Source organism: Homo sapiens, chromosome 14 (genome assembly GCF_000001405.40).
Source record: "Homo sapiens chromosome 14, GRCh38.p14 Primary Assembly".
NCBI lineage: Eukaryota > Metazoa > Chordata > Mammalia > Primates > Hominidae > Homo > Homo sapiens.
In genome coordinates, this window is record NC_000014.9 from 38533732 (window position 1) to 38546604 (window position 12873).

Sequence of the window (12873 nt, forward strand, 5' to 3'; positions counted from 1 at the left end):
ATTCAGGTCGAAGCCTGGAGGAGAGATGACCTGAAGCTTGGTAAGTTCTTCAAACCTGTAGCAGCAATAATATCATCCCATGCTTTCATCCTATGCCTGTCCAATGGGTACAATGAACTGTAATGGTGAGATACTCCTGAGATGGCAGCCTTCAGAAAAGACTTTTTGACACATAAAGCTTGTCGATACTGACCCTTGTTTGTAAGCGTTCTTTAGTAATGTCTGTACTGGAACGAAGAGTGTCCCCTCAAAATTCACGTCCATCCAGAAGCTCAGAATGTGACCTTTGGAAATAGTGTCTTTGTATATGTAACTAGTTATGTTATAGCAAAGTTATACTGGATTACGGTAGACCCTAAATCCAATGACTGATGTCCCTTTAAGAAGACTATGTAAAGACACAGAGAAGAAACCATATGAAGACCAAGGCAGAGACTGGATTGATGCATTGCAAGCTAAGGAATGCCAAGGATTGCCATCCATCACCAGAGGCTAGAAAAAGCAGAGGAAGATTCTTTCCTAGGGCCTTTGGAGGGAGTATGGCTCTACTGAAATCTTCTTTTCAGACTTTCAGCCTCGAGAACTATAGAAGAATAAATTGCTGTATTTTTAAACCATCCAGTTTGCAGTAATTTGGTTATTTATTTATTTATTTATTTATTTATGTTGAGACAGAGTCTCACTCTGTAGCCCAGGTTGGAGTGGAGTGGTGTGATCTCAGCTCACTGCAACCTCCGCCTCTTGGGTTCAAGCAATTCTCATGCCTCAGCCTCCCAAGCAGCTGGTATTACAGGCATGCACCACCACACCTGGCTAATTTTTATATTTTTAGTAGAGATGGGGTTTTGTCATGTTGGCCAGGCTGGTCTCGAACTCCTGACCTCAAGTGATCCACCCACCTCGGCCTCCCAAAGTACTGCGATTACAGGTGTGAGCCACTGTGCCTGGCCCCAGTTCATAGTAATTTGTTACAGCAGCCATAAGAAACTAATTTTAAGTTAATAATAATTTGCAAATGAAATCTATAGTCTCGTGGTTTAAAAAATTATTTATTGGGCTTTTAAGTTATAACAGCAATACAGATTTAATCTAACAAATCAAAATGTAGAAACTGATAAAGCCAAAAGTAAAAGCCATACCTTTATAACACAGATTTTACCCTGAATATTTATATTTTTGACTTTTTCTATGAATATATATAAGCACCTTTTTCTTTTTTTCTTTTCTTTTCTTTACAAAACTAGGATCATCCTGTGCATGTTTTTCATCTTGTTTTTCATTCACTATGTTAAAAAAATATATGGACACTTTTACATGTCAATATATAGAAATCAACATCCTCCTTCGAGTAGGCTATGTAATATTCCATTAGAGCCACCATCTCATAATTCACATTTTATAAAATTCACATTTATTATCTACTATGTGCTAGGAACAGAATATTTGTTTTCAAGGAGGAGGAGAGATACATAAGTAAAAAGGAAGTTATATGGCAGTGTGAAAAATCCTTCAGTGGCCTCAAGCACAAGAAACTGTGGGGAGGGTAGGTAGGATATTCCAAGCACAGGGAACAGATTATGCAAATGACCCAAAATAAGAATAATAGGGTCAAACAAGCAGAATCTCATCATTCTCACAAGTGACTGTAAAGAAAAAACAATTCATATGAGAGCTCTGGATTCTAAAACCTGATAAATTTTCCCAGATTTAAATAGACTCATTTTCAAGAGGGGTATGTAAAATTATTTAATGATCAGTTGGCTCAACACAAGGAACTATTTGGCAGGAGTACTTTATCAGTTTTAACAAGTATGACTTGCTCTACTAGTGTCTTACAAGATGCATACTTCATTATCTTATGGGTCCTGGCCATTGGCACATAGACTCTAATGAATCATAGTTTAGATTTCAAGGATGCTTTTTCAAGGATGCAACACTGAGGTGGGGCTCCCAACAGGCATTACCCCAGCAAATGAGGCCAAAGACCACAGCTAAAGTGATCTTAACCATGTTGAAGAATTCTGAAGGTAAAATTCTCAAGCTCAATCTAAATGAGCCCCATAGAAGGATGATTTATTACCAAAGGACATAGGAAAATGATTAGCCTTAATGAAGCACCTTGTAGTTTATGCAAATTGGATCTGATTCACCACTGATATTGGACTTAAAATTCCTAATGACGTCTAGCTAATCAGCTTAATCACAGAGATGCCTAATGGGCTTTTTGTCTGAGGCCTTGATGTACTGCCTGGCTTTATTATGAGGTGATGGGGTGGGAGGCTACATGCCAACCATTTGCAATGGAGTGGGATAGTCTAGACACCAAGTTGCTTCCATTTGGGAATACCTGAAACCTTCTCTCCACCTCATCTTTCTCAGTTCCAGTTATTAGGAGGAGAAACAGGTCTAAGTTCCCACCAATAATGCAAAAGGGCCCAATTATAGCAGAAAAAATTGAGACAGATACCCCCAAATCAGTTCATCTAAAAGTTTTTGATAATCAAGGTATTAAGAAAAATGTCCAATTGTTCATTCTGTAGGACTTTGGAATAAACCTGATGGATGAGAGGTTTAGGCTGTCATAGCTGCAGTGCAATAAGGAAATGAAAGAGATGAACCCAGAAATCATTTTCAGATAATTTAATTGACTTTAAGTCTGAAATAAATATGTAATGGAAGTTGTACTGTGTTATTAAGGATAAATTATCATTGAATTATTCTCTAATAGCTGATGCCTCAGGAACTATTTGGCAAATTCTTGTACCACGGGTGCATGCATGAGTCCTGGCTGAATGCTGTCTGCTCACCCACATGGCTATCTGTCTGAAAGTGTCTGTGGCAATGGAGCCTGACTAAGACCAACATTTTATCCAGTTACAAAGCAGTTTATCAGCTGCCGGCATGGAGAAACTTCCTCAGCTAGTTAAGCCTTGCCTTATAATCATAATTTCTCATTCCTAGTCCCAGAATACTTTCCACTTAGCAGATCTTGCTTCCTGGCTTTATTGCTGAATCAGCCAATAATAACTAATTTTATGTCTCCTTTGAATCCTGCCAATCTGGCTTATTTGGGGAGAGAGAAAGTAGGAGAGTCAATCAAAGTAGTCACATTTCACAGTCTCTCTGACAGCTTTTCAGAAGGAACTCATCTAAATTGCATTCCATTCACTCAGTCTGATGGATGTTTACTCAGAGGGTGCAGCAGCCAGTGGAGGGGCTCTGTTAAGCACTTGCGAAGGGCCTCCAACACCACACAGATAATCCCGGCCTTAGCTGTGTCTCCACTTGGATGTCTCAGGCCTCAGTGTTTTGGATTCCAAGAACTAATAAAATTGTCAAAGAATGTTGGTAGCCAATCCATATTTACCAGATTTTAGCAAATCTAGTTAGCAAACTGTCATCATTTCAGGAAAAGATCATTTTTAAACAACAACAACAACAAAACAGGAAGTTATTAACTAAGAATTTTTTTTAAATCTTAGCATAAAAGGAGCATTATGAAAAATTCATTGCATTGTCCTTCTTTTTCCATTTTTCTTCAAATTGGTGCAAACTTTCTTGCAGAAATGTGCCCTAGAAGGCAAAAACAATTGTTTTCCTCTTTATTTGAGGAAGATTAATAAGGAGAGAAGTGCAACAAATGAGAGTGTGTGTGACTTTCCATGCCAGTCTGTCTGTGTCCTTCTCCAGCAAATGTACCCAGGCACAATTTGAGGCCTTTTTCATGCCCTATGACCACGACTCCCCTCCGCAACTATTACCTCAGGAACCCTCCTGAACCTCCTAGAATCTCGCATTGGACACTATCTTTTTAATATGTATCATATGTATGCTATTCAAAATTAAAAGTAAATTTTGAAGAAAAAAAACTCTACTTATGAGCCAATGTAACAGAAGAAAAAAAAACTTATATTTTTTCTATTTCAACAAATGTACACTCTATAATAAAATACCAGTATTCTCTCACAACATAAAGTTTTTTCTAAGGAAGCTTTTATTTTTCTAGTGCTGATGCTCATCACAGACAATGCTGTCACAAAACCACCTGATGTGTGTCCTGTACTATGCACTACGGGATTGGGGAAGTTAATTAATCAGAGTTCTCTAGAGGGACAGAACTATAGGTTGATGCAAAAGTAATTGCTGTTTTTGCCATTAAAAGCAATGGCAAAATAAAAGGATAGACATACATATGAAGGGTAGTTTATTAAGGAGTATTGACTCACACGATCACAAGGTGAAGTCCCACAATAGGCCGTCTGCAAGCTGAGGAGCAAGGAAGCCAGTCCGAGTCCCAAAACCTCAAAAGTAGGGGAGCCAACAGTGCAGCCTTCAGTCTGTGGCCGAAGGCCCAAGAGCCCCTGACAAAGCACTGGTGTAAGCCCAAGAGTCCCAAAGCTGAAGAACTTGGAGTCCGATGTTCAAAGGCAGGAAGCATCCAGCAGGGGAGGAAGATGAGGAATGGAAGACTCAGCAAGTCAAGTCCTTCCACGTTCTTCTGCCTGCTTTTATCCTAGCTGCACTGGCAACTGATTAGACTGTGCCCACCCAGATTGAGGGTGAGTCTGCCTCTCCCAGTCCACTGACTCAAATGTTAATCTCCTTTGGCACCACCCTCACAGACACACCCAGGAACAATGCTTTGCATCCTTCAATCCAATCGAGTTGACAATCAATATTAACCATCACAGGAAGTAAACAAGGAGACCAAGCTCTCCGTGTTAGTCCCATGGACAAGTTACTACACCTCTCTGAGACTCTCTTGTGGTGTGGAGATATGAATATTTTTCAACTCAGAGCATTATTGCAAAGACCAGCTTTGGCATGTAGAAATACCTTGTAAACTATAAAATTATCTACATGTATGAGATATCATAGTTATTGATTTTTAATAGAAAGTGATAAAAAAGTAATCGTTTTCAAAAATAAATTCCAGAGTAATAATGACAATGATGATAATGATGATGATGGCAGCACAATGTAAAAATAAGAAAAACATTTCTTTAGGGCTTTCTTTGTGCCAAGGCATTTGCACTAAGCACTTCATGTCATTTTTCATGTAATCCCCACAACAATGCCATGAAGCAGACTCTACTATTATCACAGTTTAATAAATGAGAAAATTGAATTTTAGATAAATTGATAGACTTGCCTACTTCACACAACAAGCATAAGTCAGAGCTGCGATTCAAGCCCTGGTTCTGTCTGATTCATAAACCTTGCAAGCAAAGCTTAGCAAAAAAAAAATCAGAAAGCCACCAAAAAGACCTTTCTTGTTTGTTAAAGCTAAGCTTAGAGCAAAGAGAAAAAAATAAGTAGAGCTTGGCCTAAATCTTAAAAAGATGTAAAACTTAACTGATGACAGAAATGAAATAGAGATATTAAACTATTTTGCTTCCCTTTACAGCATCACAAAGAATAATTGTCAAACTGGAAAGAATAAATACAGTTAAAGGAAAACCAAAAACTGAGGTAGAATTTTGATATTAGAAGGAGCCTCAAAAAATCATACAGTTTTATGTTTTTCATAACAGATAAGGAACCAATATTTTAGGTGCCTTGCTCAAAGTCATAAGTAAGTCCTTGACAATATTTGGACAGAACTCTGGCATCCTGACTCCTGGCTTAATGCTCTTTCCACCTATTATGTTTGAGAGATAATAATGAAGCTCAAGTCCCTGGGTTCCAATGAGTCAAATTACACAGGATATGGAATATCTGATGGTAATTTCTCAAATCACAGAAAATGAGAAATAAAGTGGAAGATAAGAGTTATCCTTACACTGCACAGCAAATAGAATAAGTATTATTAATTTGATTAGAGGTACTGCTTACCTTGTTTGCTCACTCTGCACCAGAATTTATCTTATGCATCAAGGAAAGTTCACAATTTATTTAGCTATGTATCAATAACTGGAGAGTTCCCTTTAAATTTTAGATGCTATAAAAGTTAATGGAACATAGGTAGACTTTTACTAAAAAATAAGAATTGTATGCATCTCATCACATATACGCTAGCTATATTACCTGCCATGATGAAAAGAATCATTAATCACTTTTAAATAAAGTTTAATACAAATAATTAAAAAATAATGTTGGCATTTCAGTAATTTCCTGTAATTGTAATAATTAATGTAGGGTTGAAATATTTCTCAATTTAGTAACAAAGTTTTTTGGTTATTACATTTGTCATTCTATGTCCAGAGTACAAATGCATGAACCCATGCTACTTTGTCCTGGACCCACTACATAGGGCTGCCCCTGTAAAAGGTCATTCAGTATTACTGTCTGCCTTTTTGACTTCTTGATTTTCAGAGTAAAACAAATTTTCTTTAGGACCTGCAAATATTAGGTTGATACAAAAGTAATTGTGGTTTTTCCCATTTCTTTAATGGCAAAGCAATTACATTTGTACCAACCTAATATTTTAAAGAAAAGAGGTTCAGTAAAATTGATATTCTCCAAAGCCAAGCTATCACCAAAACTCATTGAAAGGCAAAGGGCTATAATGTTGAGTTTTTTTAATTGTCTGGGTTCAAGCTGTTACATCCTTAATAATGATTTATTTGATCTGTTATTGTCTCAATGTGATTTTACCATTAGAAAGTATATACATTTAGGTCTAGCTTTACATTTTGAACCTCATGGACAGGGGAAAAAGTCCAGAAACAGAATCGAATAATCAATACAGGGCTCACTGTTTGTTTTCTTTGTCAATAACTTTTAGTAGATACAGTGTGTCTGTCTCAATTGGCAGCAAAACATCCCCTTAGCTAGACTGTATTATACCTGTCTGTGAAAAAGAAAATAATAATGTCTCTTCTCCTTGTTAGTTACAGGCCTCTGAAACCCCTGAACTCTCTATATCTTCCACCCTGCCCCTGCTAATTTTTCCAAAAGTTAATTCTGGCACACTCTTCAGTCTCTCATTTAAGTCAAACAATTGCAATGTTTTTAATGTTTATTGTATGGCTTTCCTTCATATTTGGCAAAAACTCATCCAGCCGTTTTTTTTGTTTGTTTGTTTGAGACAGAGTCTCACTCTGTCACCCAGGCTGGAGTGCAGTGGTGCAATCTCAGTTCACTGCAACCTTTGCCTCCTGGGTTCAAGCAATTCTCCTGCCTCAGCCTCCCGAGCAGCTGGGATTACAGGCACGTGCACCACACCCAGCTAATTTTTTTGTATTTTTAGTTGAAACGGGGTTTCACCATGTTGGCCAGGCTGGTCTCAAACTCCTGGCCTCAAGTGATCCTCCCGCCTCGTCCTCCCAAAGTGCTGGGATTACAGTCGTGAGCCACCATGCCCGGCCGCTCTTTTGGTATTATGTGGAGACAACAGACAAGTAGTGATAACCTTTAGGAATCTGACTTTGCTGGACTCATCTGGATTCTTTTTAATTGAACACGTTCTAGAGATTTTCTTCCATGCATTCTATGCTGCTCTTTTTAAAGCCATCTGTCCTGAGATATTACTTTTTTAGTTTAGGGTGACTACTGATTTTCAGAGTAACTTAGCAATTTCAGTTTATAAACTTGTCTAAGTCACTGTTTTACCAACTAATTTCTATCAACTGACTTCAGAATATTTCTGCAATATAAGGAAAACCCTTTAATATGAAACATGTTTTGGATGTAGGAAATCTCTGCTCATAGGAGGGAAATAATTGAAAATACCTAAACCATACATACTGCTTGTTTTGTGTGTTTCTTTTCTGTATTTTAAAAAATTTATAAGGTATATGTGCAATTTTGTTATATGCATATAACAAAACTGTGTAGTGGCCAAGTCAGAGCTTTTAGGGTATCTGTCACCAAAATAATATATATTACACATGCATTTAGATTCAGCAAAATCAATTCATAGGTATAAAAGGAAGTCCCTTTGTAATAATTTATATTTAAAAATCAGGCTGTTTTGATTGACTAAAAGCTCAATATCAGTCAATAAGTTATGCTTCCTATTAAAAAATTTACTTTGCATGTGTATCCAGACCAAGGAAAACAGCACTGCTCTTTTCACAGTGGTCACACCATCTCTAGAGGGTTGAGTTGTATTCTGACACTTCATTTTAGGACAGACCGTGGCCATTTGGAATGTGTTCAGAGAAGGATGGCTAAGACAATAAAGAAATTTCATTATAGATGTGATGGTTAAATAAAGTATATCATGTGTGGTTGTATTAATCTGCTTTCATACTACTATAAAGAACTGCCCAAGACTGAGTAATTTATAAAGAAAGGAGTTAATTCGACTCACAGTTCCACATGGCTGAGGAGGCCTCGGGAAACTTACAATCATGGCCAAGGTGAAGGGGAAGCAAGGCACCTTCTTCACAAGGCGGCAGGAAGCAGAAGGGCCGAGTGAAGGAGGAAGAGCCCTTTATAAAACCACCAGATCTCATGGGAACTCACCACTATCACAAGAACAGCATGGGGCAAACGAACCCCAGATTCAATTACCTCCACCTGGTCTCTTCCTTGACACGTGGGGATTCTGGGATTACAATTCAAGATGAGATTTGTGTGGGAACACAAAGCCTAACTGTATCAGTGGTGACAAAGTGTTTTGGGATGGGCAGATAGGAAAGGTAGCTATCATAAACAGAATTTAAGTATTTGTTGATTGCAAGATAGTCTTATGAAAGAGAGGTTATTATGCATTGTTCCAAAGACAAACAAGGATCAATGAGCCAAATTTACAGAAAGCAAATTTTCAGCATAATATTCAAAGAAAGAAATTTCTCATCAGTACACTTATCTAAAAATTAAATGGATAATAAAGGGTAAAAGAAATCTTTATACATTAGATACACACACACTGGAGTATATATGAGTTAAATGAGCTGATGTGTAGGATTTGCTTTAAAATAATACAGCAGGCCGGGCGCAGTGGCTCACGCCTGTAATCCCAGCACTTTGGGAGGCCGAGGCGGGCAGATCACGAGGTCAGGAAATCCAGACCGTCCTGGCTAAAACGGTGAAACCCCGTCTCTACTAAAAATACAAAAAAATTAGCAGGGCGTGGGGGCGGGCACCTGTTGTCCCAGCCACTCGGGAGGCTGAGGCAGGAGAATGGCGTGAACCCAGGAGGCGGAGCTTTCAATGAGCCGAGATCGCGCCACTGCACTCCAGCCTGGGGGACAGAGCGAGACTCAGTCTCAAGATAAAATAAAATAAAATAGCAAAGAAAATTTGCATGGGAGATCACAAATACAAGAATAGCAAAACATTGATACTTGCTTAAATTAGATGGTGAGTACTCAAGATTCCATATATAATACTTTCTATGTTTGTATGCAACTGAAAGTTTTACTTTTTAAACAAAAAGAATACATTGCTTCTGGGGGTAGTGAGGTCCCTGCTTTAGATATGTTCACACAAAGACTGGATCTCCACCTGAAAAGAATATTATTGCATAGTATACACAATGTTGGATCTTTATTTTTATTTATTTATTTTGAGACGGAGTCTCACTCTTTTGCCCAAGCCGGACTGCAGTGGCGCTATCTCTGCTCACTGCAAGCTCCACCTCCTGGGTTCACGCCATTCTCCTGCCTCAGCCTTCCGAGTAGCTGGGACTGCAGGTGCCCGCCACCGCGCCCGGCTAATTTTTTGTATTTTTAGTAGAGACGAGGTTTCACTGTGTTAGCCAGGATGGTCTCGATCTCCTGACCTCGTAATCCGCCCGCCTCGGCCTCCCAAAGTGCTCTGATTACAGGCGTGAGCCACCGCACACTGCCAGTGTTGTATCTTTCTAAGATTCTGACTCTGGAAAGGAAGTTAGAAAAACAATGTAAAGTAATTCAGAGGAGATGACCTTTACCCAGCCTTTCATTCCTGACAGCTTTTTGCTGCCTGCTCCTCATGTCTCCTGCTTGCTACCCTCTTTTGCTCTCCGGATCACCTGTCACTTCCCTGGGGATTTGGCTGCTTTCAAGGTCAACTATTGCACAACAGAAACTTACATAGTAAGCCCTGTAGCTAAGAAACCAAAGCTGTCAAATAGCCTTCAACTGATGACTCTCTCAAACTTGAAACATTCACTTCACACATAAAAAATAGATCATTCTTTGAACACAGAATCAAAATATTTCACTTTCCTTAAAGATACTTTATGAAATCTACCACCAGTTAATCATGAGACGTCTCAAATGGAGTGCAAGTACTATCAAATGTGAATACTTGAGAGAATTTTCCTGAGGAAGCTGGTTGAGTACCATGTTAGCCCATCTGTAAGTGACAACCTGAATGTATAAATAGATGAAAGTGATGGTGATTCACCAGGCCAGGCACTGTGGTTCACGCTTATAATCCCAGCACTTTGGGAGGTCAAGTCAGGGGACCACTTGGGGCCAGGAGTTCAAGACCAGCCTGGACAACATGGTAAAACCTCATCTCTACTAAAAATACAAAAATTAGCTGGGTGTGTGGCACACATATGTAGTCCCAGCTACTCAGGAGGCTGAGGCACAAGAATGGCTTGAACCCTGGAGGCGGAGGTTGCGGTGAGCCGAGATTGTGCCACTGCACTCCAGCCTGGGCAGCAAAGCGAGATTCTGTCAAAAAAAAAAAAAAGAAGAAGAAGAAGAAGGAAAGGAAAGAAAAAAAAAGAAAGTGACTCACCAGATATTTCAGTTTCTTAGGCACATGGTAGTATTGTACTTCCTGGTCCTCATGTGGTTGGGTATGGTCACATAATTCTAGCTAATGGATTGTGAGTAAAGCATTTAATTGTCAAGGCAAACCCTCTCTCTAGATGTCTCTTTTCCTGCTGGGCTGGCCATTAGACGTGTTCAAAGAGCAAGTGTTCTATCTGTATAGGACCCTGTACGACAACAATAAGCAAAGCCCCTTTTAGAATCCATGATGGATGAGTAGCCAGAGTGAAAAATAAGCATTCATTGTCTTAAAACACTGACATTTTGTAGGAGGCACTTGTCACTACGTGTGGTAGGCAGAGTTTCCAAATGGGCTCCAGGACCCCTTTTCTGGAGCATAGGCAAGACCTGGGAATATAGTGGGATAGCAGTCCCATGATATGGCAAAAGAAATTTTGCAGATATGATTAAGATCCCTAATCAGCTGGGCTTTGAGTTAAACAAAAGGAAGATTGTCCTAGGTGGGCTTGACCTAATCAAGCGAGCCCTTAAAAGAGACATGCAGCAGAAGCTGAAACTCCTGCTGGCCTAAAAGAAGCAAGCAGCCATGTGATTAATTATCTGTGGAGAAGAGCAGCCTCTAGGAGCTCAGAGCGGTCCCCCACTGACAACTATCAAGAAAACAGGGACCTCAGTCATAAAGCTGCAAGGCAATAATCTCTTCTAACAACCAGTGAGCTTGGAAGAAAAGCTGGAGCCTTAGATGAAATTGCAGGTCATGTTGACACCTTGCTTTTCAGCTTGATGAAACCCTGAGGAGAGGACCCAGTAACCTATACCCAGAATTCTGACCCATAGAAATGGAGAGATAATAAATTTGTTTTGTTTTAAGCTGCTAAGTTTGTGGCAATCTGTCGTCACAATAGAAAACTATTACCACAGTATAACCGAGTCTATCCTAACTGACAAAATGGGCAAATTAATTATGATGTTATGATTATTACAATTCTAGAAATTCTCTGGGAGGCAGAAAACTCAGATTAATGAATAACACATCTGTACACTGAAATACCAGATAGCTATTAAAATAAATGAGGCATTCACAAAACTAAAAATAGAATTCCCATATGATCCAGCAATCTCACCTGAGTATGTATCCAAAGAAATTGAAATCTGTGTCTCAAAGAAATATCTGCACTCTCGTGTTTACTGCAGCACTATTCCCAATAACCAAATATAGAATCAACCTATGTGTCTGTCAACAGAAGAAGGAATAAAGAAAATGTGGTTTAATACTGGTATACACACACACACACACACACACACACACACACACACACACACACAAGAATATTATTCATCCTTAAAAAAAGAAAATCCTGCCATTTGCAACAATATGGATGATCCAGAGGACATTATGTTGTGCTGAGTGAAATAAGCCAGACACAGAAAGACAACTACTTAGATATTTCCACTTATATATGGAATCTAAAGAAGTTGAACTCTTTAGAATCAACTAAATCTGGGCTGGTGGCTGGGCTGGAAATGGGGGGATTTTGGTCTGAGGACATAAAATTTCTTAAGTTTCATACTTTATAAGATAAATAAGTTCTGGAGATCTAATGTACAGCATGGTAACTATAGGTAATAATAACGTATTGTATACTTGAAATTTGCTAAAAAAGTAGATCTTAAGTGTTTTCACCAAACATACAAAACATGTTAACTATATGACATGATAGACATGTTAATTAGCTTAATTGTCGTAATTACTTCACAAGGTATACATATATCAAAACATCAACTGTACACCTTAAATATATATAATTTTTATTTATCAAGTATACCTCAATAAAATTGGAGGAAAATAAAGTAAAATGAATAAGGTAGATATGTATATGCTATTATTAAACAATCTTCAATATATTTGTTCAGTGAAAAAGCACAGATCATGTATACATAATCCAATTTACATTTTAATGGACATATAAATATGCTTACATATCCACAGACAACTTCTGGAACAATAAATAACTATTAACAATAAGCCAGGCACAGTGGCTCACACCTGTGGTGCCAGCTACTCAGGAGGCTGAGGTGGGAGGATTGCTTGAGACCAGGAGTTAGTTCAAGACTGCAGTGAGCTATGGATCAGGCCACTGCACTCCAGCCTGAGTGACAGAGTGAGATTTTTGTCTTTAAAAAAAAAAAAAAAAAAGGCTATATTAAGAAAGAGAGACTGGAAGTCAAGGTCAAAAAAAATAATAAATTCTTT

General features: G+C 38.5%; 1 annotated feature.

Annotated features, from left to right (window-relative positions):
* Positions 2912-3413: an enhancer, noted in NCBI's record as "NANOG hESC enhancer chr14:39005847-39006348 (GRCh37/hg19 assembly coordinates)". NCBI's record gives its function as "activates a minimal SCP1, AML or CMV promoter by ChIP-STARR-seq in naive H9 embryonic stem cells {active_cell/tissue: H9 hESC(naive)}" and the evidence as "EXISTENCE:reporter gene assay evidence [ECO:0000049][PMID:30033119]".